Here is a 16,006-nt window from a genome sequence, read left to right on the forward strand (position 1 = left end):
AGAGGAGAGCCACAGAAAGGGCTAAACTTCCCCTTAGACAATAGTCTTAACTCGAGCTAACCCAATAGCCCAAAAGTGATGGGCACCAGATTGCACTCCGCGTGGCCTCTGTAATAGGAACCTGGAAAAGTGCTAAGGAAAGTTTAACCAAAATGCCCACTTTGGATACTAAAACAACTCAATTAAGCACCTAAAAATATCTAGCTTTGAGCAATGTTACTTTCTAAAATCCCTTCCAAGTAAACTCTTTTTCTGAAATTAATAAATACCCAACATAAAAGAACGCAACTAGTAACCATAAAGTGTTTAAAAGTCTGGGCTTCTCCCCACCAAGAAAAGACGAGTTGTAATACCTGGACTGTGGGTCTCCAGTCCGACAAGAATTGGCTCTCTGCTTCACTGGTCTCGTAAGGTCACTCCCTAGAATTGGCTTTCTATAGGACCATTTAATTGAGTCTATTTGAATCTTACTCAAGTCTACCACCTTATAAGTATCAAACCGAATTTAGTAGGATTCGAAATGGTAAGGACTGCATTAAATTATTTCTCTAATTCAGCAGTAAGGAAAGTGAACAGAAGTCTCGGTGTACAACCACGCCCCGGGTTGACATCTTTCCTTCCACGAAGACACTGGGTACAAGCCTTGATGTAGCTGTTAATTGCCCTCCTGTTTCCTAGAAAGCTTATAGGGCAGCAGTAGGAAACGGGTTAGGTATGCCTTTCCTGGTAGGAGCCGAGCTTTGGGTCTTATCTCTGCCACTTGTTCGGCATCTGATCAGTAAAAGGGGACCATGATGGGAGGCGAGGCAGTAGACAGCACTTTGTGACGGTTCCTAACCAGTCGCTGTTATCACTGAGCACATTGTCCTCGTAATCCAGAATTCATACTGCCATTTGAATATTTTTTGTATTTGCAAAGAAAATTTTAACCACTTAACTCAAGGCTAGAAATAAAAGCAATTAGTGATTGCAAGAGAAATCCACCGGCAGAAGGCAGGGGGAGACGACTTAAGCCTCTGATTATTTTTGGAAGCTTTATATGCTTTCTAGCCTTTGTCATTGAATGGATTAATGTATGTGCCTGGCATAGACTAAGTGCTTTGCTTGTTAAACTGCCCGCGGGTCATAGCGAGCAAACTGGGGGAGCGCCCAGGGACAGTGGATGGAGTGAGTGGAGACTCGTGTCCTTTTAAGAAGAGGCTCCATTTCTTCCTCGCATGTCAATGTGTGCGTGTCATCAGTTGTTCGAGGAAGCTCGCGCATGACGCGACACTTGCCGTCTGGGCTCTCCAGGTTCGGCCTGCTGCTTTCACAGCCCAGATCTTCGGCGTCCCCGAGACGCAGCCAGGCGCCCGGCCCGGCCCGGCCCGGCCCTCTGCACAGCCCCACTTCAGGCCACGCCGTTTCCTTGACCTTCCCCCGGCAGGGTCTGAAGCGTCACCGTCCGTCTAGAGCAGAGTCGCGCAGGCCCCTGCCCTGCCGGTGAGGTCGGCGCCGCGCTCCGGAGAGTCGGTTCCTCCCGATTCAGACCCATATGGCTTCAGATGGAACCATCATTTCTGTTCCGTCATGACCGGCTTGCAAGGTAGCAAAGCGAAACAAACGTCTCGTTTTCAGCCTGTCCCCGCCACCTTGAAATAAAACCGGCAAAAATAAAAAGAGCATTCTGGGAAGTACTTCATCATTTCAACGCTCACGAATTCAAAACATAAACAAAGGCTTCCGAGTGCCCCGGCCAGGGGCGCGGGGCGCACGGCGGGCCCGGGGCAGGTAAGCGCAGGTGCGCGCCCGCCCCCACCCCCGGCTCCCTCCCCATCCGCTCCCCGCTCCCCTTCCCCTTTCCCTTCCCCGCCCGCTCCCAGCCGCCGCCGCCGCCCCGCGCACGGCCTGGAGCGGAGGCTGCGCAGGGCGCGGGGCGGCGCGGGCCGGGCGCGGGCCGGGCGGACGGCCGCGTCTTTCTTCTCCTGGCGGTGATGTCATTGGGCGACGGCGGCCGAGGCCGGGGGGCGGCGGCGGGCGCCCGCAGGTTCCCGAGCCGCTCCTGAGAAGGCGCCTGACAGCGGGCCGGGGCGCACGGAGAAGCGGGCCGGGCCGGACCTGCTGGGCCGCGCCGAGCCAATCGCCGGCGCCGGCCGCTCGATGGGCGAGGCGGCGGCGGCGGCGGCGGGGGCCGCGGGCCGGGCCGCCGCTCCGAGGTGAAGGCGCGCGCCCCTCCCCGCCTGCCTCCCGGGCCGCAGCGATGAATTCCGCCGAGCAAACCGTTACGTGGCTCATCACTCTGGGGGTGCTGGAGTCGCCCAAAAAAACCATCTCGGACCCGGAGGGCTTTCTGCAGGCGTCGCTGAAGGATGGGGTGGTCCTCTGCAGGCTGCTGGAGCGCCTGCTCCCCGGGACCATCGAGAAAGTAAGTCCCGGCCCGCGCCCCCGCCCGCGCCCCCCGGTCCGGCCCGCTGCGGCCCGGGATGCGCGCGGAGCACCTGAGGCCGGCCGCGCTCGGGAAACCCGTGCGCCCTCCTTTGTGCGCGGAGCGGCGGCGCGGCCGGCGCCAGGACCGTGGCGGGAGCTCGGGGGGCGCCATTGTGTGCGGGGCAGGGGGAGGGGGCCGGGGAGCGGGGTCGGGGGGAGGGGCGGCGCGGGCGGCGGGGGTCCCCGGGAAGGAGAGTGCACCGCAGCGAGGAGACGGGGCTTCTGCGCCGCCCGAACGCTAAGTTGCCCCTCCGCGTGGGGGGCCGGCCCCGCTCCCTGGCAGCAGCCGCATCGGAAACCGCGTTCCGACGCGGTGCGGCTCACTCCGCTGGCTTTGTGTGGACAGTTCTTGCCGGTGGCGTTGCGTGAGTTTCGCCTCCCAGGTTAATTGACCGGTTGCTCTGTATTTTTAAAGAGGCACGCATCTGTAGCTGAGGGCTGCGCTGTGAAACGATCTACTACTTTCCCCTCGAGAAAATTCCCCACCTATCCGAGCCGAGAGGACGGCAGACACAGGGTCTAAGTCCTGGCACTCTTCAAGGCTTGTTAAAATTCTAGATTTCGTTCTCAGGTCCCTCCCTCGTTCTGAACAGAACCTTTAGTCCTGCAGGCACTGCTTCTCCCTTCCGGCTGGTGGTTCCCAGGCTGGAGCGTGTGAACCCTGACCCGAATCTCTGGAAGTGATTAAAGTTTGTTTTCATCGCCCACAAGCCGGCCAGCAGGGCCGAGGAGGCAGGAGAGTTTCTAAAAACGATGTCTCCCTGTAGCTCAAAATACTAAAATCTTATTCCCAGGGTGTTTCTTCGGGGGGTGGGGTGGGGGTGGGGGTGGCCAATATATAGCGTTAAGATCAACAGTTATTTAAAAGGTGTTAAATATAGAAATTGAAGTGTACCATAATTAGGAAGAAGGATTTCAGTTTTTAAGTGGGGTGTATTGGCCCCCATACAGGATGACAACAACTTGTAAATAAAATGCCACGTAAGTGACTTGAAAAAGTAAAATGTTTAATTTTTTTCATTCACATGTACATATTCTCTTGCTACATTTTAAATGAGGTCAGAAAACATTTTATTTAATATGAATTTGGCTTGCATTCCACTTTTAGCTATTTTTCTTACTTGGAACATCTTTATGAAAACAGAATCTGCATATTAGAGTGAATGGCTGCCTGCCTGTCCATGAAATAAAAATGTTCCTTAAAAATGAACCTGATGTCACAGTGAAATTATGATTTAAGACAGGAGGACTGAGGAGCAGGAGCTGACTTTCAAGGCATTCAAAATACTTTGCTGTTTGGATACTGGTACCTCTGGTAATGAAAGACAGATGTTGAAAAGTGTTGAAATGCATGCAAAGTTCACCAAAATAGGCTTAAATAAAATTCTGTTCCATCCCTAAGAGCAAAGCTTTAAGAAGTGTCATATGCTGTATTGATAAAAACATGTCGCCATCAAAGAATATGTTGTTTGGCATATTAACTGTATTAATATTGATTGGCCGACTTCAATAATCATTTTCTTTTAAATTATAGAAAGATTTTCCTAGAAAACCGTAGCGTTCATTTCATCTCTAAAACAACAAAGAGAAGAACGAATAAAATGTTGAGCTTGCAGAAGCCAAGTTGAAACAACTCAACATATTCTAAAACTACAGTCATCTGGAAATTTCTTAGGTCAGAGCTGTTTTTGATTCCCCCTGAGCTCCAGTTGGTTTGTGTTAAACTGACTCTGTCACAATGAAAGTTTAATGTGAAGGCAGCGTATTGTAGACACAGTTACTGGTTCTCTGGAGTTCAAAGGTAGGTTTTTGGAGTAAAATATTAGCCGTTTTCTGCCTCTGAGATCCCTGTGTTTCAGAAGTTTTGTGAGCTTTTTCCATTTGCTAGGCAGAGTTATCTGGGTTTCTTTCTTTCTTTTCTTTTTCTCTTTCTTTCTTTCTCTCTCTCTCTCTGTCTCTCTCTCTCTTTCTTTCTCCTTCCTTCCTTCCTTCGAGATGGGTTCTTGCTATGTTGGCCAGGCTGGTCTTGAACTCCGGGCCTCAAGGGATTGTCCCATCTAGGCCTCCCAAAGTGCTGGGATTACAGGCGTGAGCCACCACGCCCAGCCAGTTATCTGGGTTTTTGGTGTTTTCATGCTTACCAGATAATCTATGCCACAAAGCACACATGCTGAATAACTTTTACTTAAATGTGGGAATGTGAGTCTGAGGATGTTTTTTCCTTAAAAAGAAGCATTTGGAAACTTAACTGAATGTTCATGTGGACATGACAGGGGCTTCGCTTGACCTCTGCTGCAGGAGTGCCCTGACAGCCAGTGAGCGGAGGGCAAGTGGCCTGCAGCCTTCGCCTCTGCAGGCTCACAACCTGGCATGGGCCATGAGGCTGGGGATGAGGGCAGAACTAAAACGTGGCTGGGTGCCTCGGGCTTCCCATATGTCTTTTATTAAGAAACCATGCCCTAATGTGTTTCTTCCATTACGCTCATTTGTTCTGTTTCAGAGTTAGGAAGAGGGTGGAGGGAGCAGAGAGGACGTTCACGGCGTGTCAGATTCTTCTGCTCATTTAAAGGAAACTTTCCACCCAGGTTCCCGCTTTGCTTTTAAGGTGGAAGGTTAGACAGTGAGAAGATGGAATTATAAACTTTACATGAACAGTTCAGAAAAGAGACACTTTTCATTATACTGGACAGATGTTTTCTGCTGTAGGGGAGAGGAAAATGGGATTAAAAAGTTTTCGCCTTCTCTGTATCTGGAGATCCTGCACTTTGGTTTTCTCCAGGAGGGGTCAGGATGTTTGGCTGGGCTGCCCATGTCTTCGGCTTCCCACACTCCTCCCGTGAGCAGAGGTCATGACGTCTAGGGAGCCCTGGAAGCCCTTTTCTCACAAATTCACTTTAAACATCCCTAGGGTATTTAGTCAAAGGAGGTGAAATCAAGATACATGAATTGTAGAGGATGGAAAATTTCTATAAGACTAATACAACACATTAAAATCATGGAAATCATGAAATGCTCTTTTAATTTCACTTGTGAATGCAACAAATGAAGTCTCTTAACTCACTATAAAAAACTCAAGGAACTTGGTTCTTTCTCTGTGTGTCCCAGGAGAACAGAACACAGAGAACCTTCCTGTGTAATCCATGTGATGTGCTCCCGAGAACCCTGGCTAGGTGTTTGTGGAATGTAATTGAAAATCAGACGCTGCCTCGGGTCTTAGTGCTGGATGTGGAGGCATTTGTCTCTCAGCTCTGGAGGCCCAAAGTCTGGGATTAAGGTACCTGCAGGGCCTCGTGCCCTCAGAAGGCTCCAAGGAGGGGTCTGTCCCAGGCCACTCTCAGGCTTCTGGTAGTTCCTGGCTTGTGGCAACACAAGTCCAATCTTCACATGATGTCCGTGCTGTGGTTTCTTCTCTGTGTCCAAATTCCTCCTTTTTAGCAGGACATCAGTGGAATTGCATTAGGGGCACCCTACCCCAGTATGGCCTCATCTTAACCGATTACATCTGCATTAACTTCATTTCTGAATAAGGCCCCATCCTGAGATACTGGGGGTTAGGACTTCAAAATACGAATGCTGGAGGAGCACAGTTCAGCTCATGACAGGTTGTTTCTACATTTGAACCAGATCAGTTTATTAGCTATTGATCTGATTGCACAATGCCAGGTGCTAGGGGAGATTGCAAAACCTAAATAATAGAGTCTTGGGGGTTCCAGTACAGAAAATGTAACTCGAAAGACAAGAACAGCATGAGGCAGAAGGAAGTCAAGAGTCGTAATGTCAGATATGGATGAGAAGGAGCAAAAGAATCAAGGAGCTAAAAAGACCAGCATTTGAGCAGGTCAGACCCAAGACTTTGCTGACGTGTGGGTAAGAATATGGTTTGCATTTCCCAAACTGTAACCTGGCAGCCCTAGGTGATTTTCCACAGGCTTGCAGAAAATCAGCAAATCTGATGTTGCATAGGAAAAAAGGAAATACTTTTTTCTAGGTAAACTGGAGACTCACTTTCTGCTCAGTGTCAGGATTCTGGGGTTGGTTAGGGGCTGGGGTGAGGAGAAGCAGAAGTGCTCACCTGCTAGAAATGTGCCTTTTCTTAGGTCCTTTGGCCCTAAAAAGAACGTGATGAGTGATCACATGTGGTGGTAGGGTAAGGTTCTCACTCAGGCCCGTGACCTGTAGCCGTCATAAAGACTTGTTGATTGGCTAAGTCACTTATAGAGAAGTTATAATATGGTATCTCCAGACTGTGTTTTTAAGGAGACTTCTTTAAACCCTGCAAACTGAATAACTGGTTATATCAAGTTGCTTCTAACTAAACTACCCTGAATATGGTTCCAGAATAGTGAATTTTGCAATAATAAACATTTCCTTTTGAAGCATGTGACTTTATAGTCCTGTCTCAACCCTGAACCAGTGTGATTCTTGTTTGGGTTTCAGGCCTAGGGAAGAAGGTAGCTGGAACTGCATTTGCTGGCTCACTAAAAAGAAAGCAAACAAACTGAAATTCAATTTAAATCAGGAGTGCCTGAAGAGATTTCCTGAGAACCAGACTAGAAACTAGTGTTTATGTTGGCATCACACAGACACAGGAGAGCACACACACAAGCATACACACACGCATACATGCACACTTGCACATGCATGTGCACACACGAACTTATGCACACACGCATGCATGCCTGCACAAACATGCACATACGTAAACACATGCATGTAAATACACACACACACAGACACATGCGTGTACATAGACACGCACACACGCACACACAGACACGTCTGACGGGGGTTGAGGGAGTGGGGGAAGGAGTGCTGGCACATGTGGCATTCCATTTTCTCAGGGGCAGCTGCTCTGTGAACTCTCCAAGCCCAGTCCAAAGGATGCCATCTCAGGACCCGGCCCTCATTCTATTAATAGAAGTCACTCCAGAATCTGCCTGCTCGCCTCCTTTCTTTAGGCACTGCCTGCCTTTCTATACATCTTAAAAGAGAATAAGATGTCTGCCCAGCATGGCAGGCAGCATGCTCCTCTCGTTTGCAGGCGCTGTCCCTCGCAATACCCATACTGCAGATGAGGACCCTGAGGTCTGGCAGTTAGCTTTGCCCCAGGTCATCTGGCTGCACTCGGAGGCGGAAGATTCCAGCTCAAGACTGTGAGCTTTCTCATGGAAAACAAGACTGATTCTGCCACCTATACTGAACTTAGGGGAAGATTCGCAACCACTGCCTTCAGAAATTTACAAACCAGATCAGGAAAGGAGACGGAGGCAGCAGTGTAACTGAGCACCCAGGGGGGACAAAAGTGAGGACTGGAGGGGCTGGCTCAGGTCACCGGCCACAGGGGCAGAGTGGGAGCCCTCAGGAGTGCCTGGAGCCACTGCAGGTGTCTCACTTCTCGGGACATCTGGAAGCAGCTCTGCCCTTCAGTAGACAGACCCCAAAGGCACCCAGGGTAGGGCCCCTTGCCCTGGGGGAACCTGCAGAAGCTCCTGCAGAAGTCTGTGTCTGGGCCTTTCTCCCCGGCCGCAGAACGTGTGTTCCGTGTTCCTGTACCATCCAATAACTCACTGTAGTTTCTGGGCTTCCCTACTCTGTAGGGCTTACCAGATTTCCACTTAGTCCAAGATTTCAAACTGTGTGCATCTACACCACACACACTTTTAAAATTCAAGTACTATGTACACACGAACATCTCTCTCCCTTTAGAGGCCACTGATCACTCTAAAATGTAAAGAGTGGAGGCGATGGGGGCTGTGAGGTGAGTGGGGGCAGAGCCGTTTGTTCTTGTGTAGGGTGGATTTTAGCCGTTTGGATTGGAGTCTTGTGTAGGCTTGACGCCCACGCGTCTCTCACTGCACGAGGGAGGTGGCAGAGGCACATCATCCCTTTGGGCACGCAACTCTACCACGTGCATCGCTGGGAGATGGGAGGACTGGCATCCCCCGAACCCACGGGTCCCTGCCTGGAGACACTGGGAGACCCGGTCCTCTGCGTGCTTCAGAGTCAGGCACACCTGGCTTTGTTCCCGCAGCCATTTGCTCTGTGACTTCCGGCACCTGTCTAACCTCTCGGAGTCCTAGTTTCTTCCTCCTAAAAATGAGATGAATGATATCCACTGGTGGGGGCAGTGAGGTCATTACCAGGGTAAATGAGTAGATGTGCTGGGCACAAAGTCATTCCTCAGTACGCAGTAGTTACTGTTTTGTTGATTGACACTGAAAACCTTCCCCATCGTGTCCAGAAGACTGTAAGCCAAGATTTGAACCTCAGAGCCATCCAAATCCAGGAACACGGGTTAATTCTCACAACAGGGCAGACTCTTGCAACTTTCGGGGGCTGGCAGCCTCTGCATCCCACTCTGGACAGACCACCATTGTCTGGGTTGGTGGGCCTGCTGAACGTGGCTTCCAGGGCCCTCTGGTCAGCGCCAGATCTGGGCGCAGCTGCTGAGTGCACACAGCTGCTGGTTGGGGAGCGGGAGGGCTGAGCGGGTGGACTCAGGTTTCGCTTATATAAAGTTTCATGCATCAGCAGGGCCGGGAGTCAGAGATGGGAAGTGAGGGCCAGCCTGCCCCACCTGGTGTCTGCAGAGAGAGGGCTTTGGGGCCGCCCCGGTCCGACTGCTTCCCGGGTACAGCTTCTGACTTCTCCCTCCTTTATCAGTTCTGTCAAGTTAGGGTAGGAGAATTAATCTCTTGATGTTTTTATATTTCTAACTTTAGCTTTGAATTTTTAAGGTTTGATGCACCAGGCTGGCAGTTCTCAACTCTGTTTTTGCAGGATGGTGTCATGTCTGCTGGGGTCTCAAGGCGAGGCGGTGAGGGGAACTGAAATGGAATGTGTGCACAGTGTATTTCAAACACATGTATGTGAATTCATTTAATCATCCCTTTTACCAGGTTCCTATTGTGTGCGTGCTAGTGACCCAATCACACGCATGGAAGCGCACGCATGGATGCCAGCCATACCACCTCTTCAGGCAGGTCAGAAGAGAAATGCTAGGATCTTGGGTATAAAGTATTTGTGAGTTCTCAGGATGAAGGAATGTAGAGTCATCCAGCCCAGACGCCTCCTTTTGCAGATGGCTTCACTGAGGGCACCTGCATGTGGTTGTGTAAGCTGTGTACTGCCCGGTCTTGGGAGAACCGTTCACACTGTAGTCTAAGCAAATGGCTCCAAGGCCTGTGCTGGGAGGCGGCCCTGGGATACTGTGTATAGAGGTCAGCCTCCCAGGACACAAAGCAGAGTGGAGAAGGGTTGGGGTAGACGATAGAAGTGGCCCCAATTCTCCAACCCTCCCATGCCCCTGGCAAAGTGACCTTGTAGCGCCTCCATCAAGAGGTAGGAGTCTGCTTCCTCACTTCTTGAATCTGAGCTGTGACTTGTTTTGGCCAATGGACTGTGGCAGAAGTGGCCAGTGTTAGTTCCTAGCCCAGGCCTTGGAAAGGCTTGCACTTTTCTGCACTCTCTCAGGCCCTGTGTCTACCTCCGAGGAGACCCCAGGGCTTGGGTGCTGGTGGGGTGTGATCACATGGAGGAGAACTCAGTTGTCCCTGCTAGGCCATCCTGGACCTATCCACAGCCAGCCAACCTCAAACATTGAAGAGAGCCCAGCCAGGGTCAGCAAGCTGCCTGCCCTGCCCAGAGCAGGCACAGCTGCACCAGCAGGCCCGGACCAGGCTGACTCAAGCCAGCCACTGAGGTTTACCATGGCCATAGATAACAAATCACACACACACACATACATGCCCGTGCCATTCTTAACTAGGGGACATGCCGATATATGTAAATACAGTCCATCCCAATCACAAGAGTGCTTGTACCTTTGTTTAAAATACCCTCTATATCCTTTATTTCCTTGATAATTTCCTCTCTAGTATTTTCTCTATTCTCATTTTTTAGAAATCTTATTAAGACTAATCAGAGATAATATCTATTGAGTGCATACTGTATGCCAGGCACTGTTCTAAGGACTTTGCCCATAATAATGGATTTAACCCTCCTCACCACCCTATAAGGGAGGTGGTGACAGGATCGCCCCCATTTTCAGATTAGGAAACGGAGCTCCAGAGCGGCTGGTAACTGGCCATCGTTGGCTGGTGGGCTGCGCCCCCCCCCCCCGGCCCCGCCCCCTGCCCCTGCGGCTGCCAGGCCTGCTGGGTTGAGTCTCTCATTTGCTGACCTTTCCACTTGTATGTTTCTTCTCCTTCTGAAAGACATTTCCTTGACTTTATCTCCCAACTTTTCTACTAACATTTTTTATTTTGACCTACTTTGGCTATTTTTTTTTTAATTTCTAAAAGTTCTTTTTTCTCGTTATCTGGTTTCTCTCTGTTTCTTCCCTTTCAGTCAGTCCCTTCCTGTTTCTGGGAAGATTCCTCTCTTCCTGTGAACATTCATTACAGTTTCCTTGAAGGGTGCTTCCTTCCCTGCATTCACTGTCTCTGTTTCCTCTGAGTCCTCTTATGCAATTCTTTTTTTCCATGTTGGAGATTTACTGAAACATCATGTGATCTTTCAAGTGTGAGGCCCTCAAAATGACCAGGAAGTCCTGTGTGACTGCTGGGGCCCAGGGACATGCAGGTCTCGCCATGGGGCAGCCTGGTGATGCCCAGAAGTCTGAACCTGTTGGTCTCTTCTCCAGCAGCCGTGAGTCTCTCCAGAGACTCCTCCATCTGCTGCCTATCAGAGCAGTGTCCATCCTCACCTTGGCTCCTGTCCATGCTGGCCCTCTCCATGTTCTGGCCTCTTTGGTTCACTTTTCCCCAGAGAATAAGCCTCGGACCCCTGCAAGGATGGCAAGAGGGGTGGCCAGCTGTGATGGGGCTGGGGCCCCTAGGCCTGCATCTGACTCTCAGACAGGTGGCTTGTCTACCACCTGGGAGGGTGCACTTGCCACTGGCTACTGGGATGGGACCTTCTAGTCTCTGCTGAAGCCCCACCCATCCTCCGTCTGCTCCCTGCCTTCATAATGGTGGCCTGGGGATAGGTGTCTTCTAGTTTTTTTTGTTTTGTTTTGTTTTTTAGACAGAATCTCACTCTGTCACCCAAGCTGGAGTCCAATGGCACGATCTCGGCTCACTCCAACGGCCGCCTCCCGGGTTCAAGTGATTCTCTTGCCCCCGCCTCTCGAGTAGCTGAGGCTACAGGTGTGCGCCACCATGCCCGGCTAATTTTTGTATTTTTAGTAGAGACAGGGTTTCACCATGTTGGCCAGGCTGGTCTCAAACTCCTAACCTCACGTGATCTGCCTACCTCGGCCTCCCAAAGTGCTGGGATTACAGGTGTGAGCCAGTGCGCCCAACCAGGTGTCTTCTAGTTTTATTGAAGATGATGCTTGTGTTTCTTGTTCTCCTGGCTGTTTTGGAGGGATTTTTTTTCAAGAGAAGTGAGGCTGAAATAATTTTACTGTACTGCTTTGGACCTGGAATCTTTCCATGATGAGAAAAAGAGAGAGAGTGAGAATATATGAATGAATATCCATGTCCTATGCCCTGGGTTTCATATCTCTTCTTCTGAGTACTTTAAAATTACTAGAGAAAACAAAACTGGAAGCTGGTTATTTGAAATGTTCTTTTTTTTCTTGTTGCTTGGTATTTTGTGCATAACTTTATTATTACACTTGGAGCAGCTTTTTTTTTTTTTAGGGGCTGGTGATCATCCTATCTTTTCTCTATAGAAGCTATATATAATTCAGAATCCCAAAAAGTGTATATAAAAGAAACGTAAGCCTCGTCCAGTTTATATTAAATTGCCTTTGTCTAAAATGGGCATCCACAGCTCCAAGTGTGTTTGGATTTGCGTGTTCTCTCGCCATGAAGCCTTGTTCTGACAGTGTGATCTATTAGCAACGCCTTTAAAGTGGCCTGGTTTTGATTATTTGTAAATATTATGGCCAGTGATGGCTTTTCTCCCTCAATTCTGAGTGTCTCACTACTAATTTCCTGTGCCAGAATACTTTTTCACCAATGTCCTGTCCTTAAAGTAGCTTAAGTTCATAAGGGACTTTTAAGTACCCATTTGTAGTTAGCAGATTTTTCAGATGTCTTTTGTTAGGAATACAGATTTTCTGAAAAAGCCTTTTGCTTTCTGAACACATGCCAAAAGATTGTGGCTTTGTCATTCACTTTAAGGAAGAATGCTACAGTGATTTTGATAGGAAATTGGGAGATTCAGAGGATATTCCTGGTTCTGATTGTGTCTGTTTGGCTCCTCAGGAAGAGGGAGAGCCTCACCTGCCCATGTGGAATCAGTCCAGGCCTCTGTTTACCTTGAGCAATGTCATTGGGGCTTCCTCTGTGGTGCTTAGGAAAGTGCCTTAAGACCTGGGTTTGTCTCACTGATCTCATAAAGCACTGGTGCTGGTGACAGATGTCTTCTGGTGGAAACACATTTTCTGGTTATAATCATCCCTATTTGTTAAGGATTTTTGTTTCTTTTGAAAATAGGCTTTAAGGCTGGGCGCGGTGGCTCACGCCTATAATCCTAGCACTTTGGGAGGCCGAGGTAGGCGGATCACCTGAGGTCAGGAGCTCAAGACCAGCCTGGCCAACATGGTAAAACCCTGTCTCTTCTAAAATACAAAAATTAGCTGGGCATGATGGCGGGTGCCTGTAATCCCAGCTACTTGGGAGGCTGAGACGGGAGAATCACCTGAATCCGAGAGACAGTGGTTGCAGTGAGCCGAGATCGTGCCACTGCACTCCAGCCTGGGCAGCTGAGCGAGACTCCATCTCAAAAAAAAAAAAAAAGCCTTTAACAAAATAGAATATGGCCAAATTCTTGTGACTTGTGACAAAGGTTAAACTTCCAGAAAGTGCCCTAGAAGCCATAATTTTCCATGATAAGAGACTAGAATGGAATGTCTTTCAGACTTTATCAATTGATGACAAATGGAGAAAAATAAAAGTTCATTTATGGCACTTCTGACCAAGCTCATTTCCCTAGATTGAATCTGAGTAATTGCAATGTCAGCTATCTAGGGTTGGCTCTTCAAACAAATAACCTGGAGTCATAAGCACACTGTTTATGAATTCCTCAAATGAAATTCTGGGAGTGAGACACCACTCACCCTGCACATAGTCAAATCTTTTGTTGCCTGTAATGGAGCTTCCACCTTAAGAAACTAGAAAAATAAGGGCAAATTAAACTCAAATTAAGTAGTAGGAGAAAGAGAATAATAAAGAACAGAATGGAGATTAGAAAATTACTAGCGAGAACAAACAAAACTGAAAGGTGGTTATTTGAGAAGAATCAATAACATTGATAAACCTGTTTGTGGACTGATTAGGAAAAACGGGGAAAAGACAGAAATTACCAACGTAAGGAATCACCACAGATCTTACAGATATCGAAAGATAATAAGTGGATATGAAAACATTGTTATGCCAACAATTTCTACAACTTAGATGAAATGGATAACTTTCTTGGAAGACACGAAGCTCACTAAAGAAGAAATTGATAACTTTAATAACCCTACATCTATTACAGAAATAAATTTGTAGATAAAATTCTTCTCATAAAGAAAATTCCAGGCCAGATAGTTTCACTGGTAAATTCTACCAAGCTTTTAAGAAAAAAATAACTGTAATTTTACACAAGCTCTTCTAGGAAATAAAAATTGGGCCAGGTGCAGTGGCTCACATCTGTAATCCCAGCATTTTAGGAGGGAGGATTGCTTGAGGCCAGGAGTTTGAGACCAGCCTGAGCAACATAGTGAGACCCTCCCCCCATCACTACAAAAAATTTTAAAAATTAGCTGGATGTGCCTCTGGTCCCAGCTACTTAGGAGGCTGAGGTGGGAGGATCACCTGAGCCTGGGAGGTTGAGGCTGCAGCGAGCCGTGATCACACCACTGCACTTCAGCCTGGGTGCCAGAGTGAGACTCTGTTTCAGAAAAAAAAAAAAAAAAAAAAAAAAAGAAGGAAGGAAGGAAGAAAGATTAATAGTGAGGTTGTACTTCCCAAACCATTCTAAGTGGTAAGCATTATCCTGGTAACAAAACCTGACAAAAATATTATAAGAAAAGACTATAGGCCAATAACCCCTATGAACATAGATGTAAACCTTCAAAAAATTTAGCAAATCAATTTCAGCATTACATGTAAAAGATAAGATATCATAACCAAGAAGCATTTATCTCAGGAAATAAAAATCAATCAATACAATTCATGATATTAACAAACTAAAAGAGAAAAATCCAGAGGATTATCTCAATGGATGGCAGAAAAAGCATTCAATGCAATCCAATCCAACGTAAACTCTTGGTAAACACTCCCAGTGATCTAGGAATAGAAGGAAACTTCCTCAACATGCTAAGGGGCATCCATGAAAACCTACAGCCTATGTGAGACTCAATGGTGAAAGACTAAAAGCTTTCCCCCTAAGATCAGGAACAAGACAGGGGTGTTCACTCTTACCACTTCTGTTCAACCTTACACTGGAGGTCTCACCCAGTACAATCAAGCAAGAAAAAGAAACCAAAGCCATCTAGATTGAAAAGGAAGAAGTAAAGCTGTCTTTATGTGTAGACTATATGATTGTGTAGGAAATTGTATAGGATCTACAAAATAGCTACTAGAACTAGTAAGTCAGCTGGATGTGGTGGCTCACACCTGTAATCCCAGCTACTCAGGAGGCTGAGGCAGGAGAATCGCCTGAACCTGGGAGTTGGAGGTTGCAGTGAGCCAAGATTGTGCCACTGCACTCCAGCCTGGGTGACAGAGCGAGACCCTGTCTCAAACAAGCAAACAAACAAACAAACAAACAAACAAAAAACCAGTAAGTCAGTTTAGCAAGGTTGAAGGGTTAATATACAAAATCAGTTGTATTTCTATATATTAGCAACAAATGATCAGAAATTGAAACTTAAAATACCATTTACAATAGCAAAGAAATGAAAGAAAAGACAAATGCTTAGGAATAAATCTGACAAAAGATAAGAAAAACATGTACACTCTCAGCAACATATATTGCTGAGTGAAATGAAAGATCTAAGTAAATGGGGCTATACATAACATTCTGGGTCAGAAGTCTTGCTTTTAAGCTGTTCTATTCATATTGATCTATAGATTCAACAGAGTCACAACCAAAATCCCAGAATTTTTTCAGTAGAAATTGATAAATGATTCTAAAGTGTCTATGGAAAGGCAAAGGGCCTAGAAACAACTTTGAAATGGAAGAAGAGAGTTGGAGGACTTGGTTTCCAGGGTTTTCATAAAACAACAGTAATGGAGTCAGCACAACGTTGCAATAAAGATAGAGAAATAGATCAACAGAACAGAATAGAGGTAGAATTAGATCCTTAAAGACATAGACAACTGATTTTCAACAAAGGTGCCAAGACACTTGGCTGTCCAAAGGACACTCTTTTCAGTAAATGATACTGGAACAAGTAGATACCCATATTTTTAAAGATGAACTTTGATCTATACCTCTTAGTATACAAAAATTAACTAAAAATGAATCATAGATCTAAATGTAAAGCCTAAAACTAAAAAACTCCTAGAAGAAAATATAAGAGAAAACATTTGTGACTTTG

At 47.4% G+C, this 16,006-nt stretch overlaps 1 protein-coding gene and 1 long non-coding RNA gene across 20 annotated transcripts in view, besides 2 other annotated features; one reads left to right on the forward strand and one right to left on the reverse strand.

The window, feature by feature from the left end:
- Positions 1-524: 524 nt before the first annotated feature.
- Positions 525-2,391, reverse strand: ARHGEF7-AS2 (ARHGEF7 antisense RNA 2). The gene is made up of 2 exons (NR_046667.1): positions 2,260-2,391; positions 525-1,631 (listed from the first exon to the last, which is right to left on the reverse strand). It is a non-coding gene; the product is annotated as an ARHGEF7 antisense RNA 2 (long non-coding RNA).
- The window catches only part of ARHGEF7 (Rho guanine nucleotide exchange factor 7), a 191,116-nt gene continuing 176,441 nt past the window's right edge, over positions 1,332-16,006 (forward strand). For 16 of the 19 annotated variants that reach the window (XR_007063704.1, XM_047430722.1, XM_006719956.4 and 13 more), the window contains exon 1: positions 1,332-2,404. Coding sequence is in view for 16 of the 19 variants with exons in the window: in XM_047430722.1 (XP_047286678.1) it covers positions 2,240-2,404 (165 nt within the window). In the remaining 3 variants the exon portion in view is untranslated. The remainder of the gene's footprint in view (positions 2,405-16,006) is intronic. The other 3 variants (NM_001354048.1, NM_001354056.1, NM_001354046.2) reach the window with 2 other exon arrangements.
- Positions 1,896-1,985: a silencer, noted in NCBI's record as "silent region_5526". NCBI's record gives its function as "represses an Ori minimal core promoter by ATAC-STARR-seq in GM12878 lymphoblastoid cells {active_cell/tissue: GM12878}" and the evidence as "EXISTENCE:reporter gene assay evidence [ECO:0000049][PMID:35858748]".
- Positions 7,216-7,354: a silencer, noted in NCBI's record as "fragment chr13:111772850-111772988 (GRCh37/hg19 assembly coordinates)". NCBI's record gives its function as "represses an EF-1alpha promoter that drives an FKBP-Casp9 reporter gene in an ReSE screen in HepG2 liver carcinoma cells {active_cell/tissue: HepG2}" and the evidence as "EXISTENCE:reporter gene assay evidence [ECO:0000049][PMID:32094911]".

This window comes from Homo sapiens, chromosome 13 (genome assembly GCF_000001405.40).
Source record: "Homo sapiens chromosome 13, GRCh38.p14 Primary Assembly".
Lineage (NCBI taxonomy): Eukaryota > Metazoa > Chordata > Mammalia > Primates > Hominidae > Homo > Homo sapiens.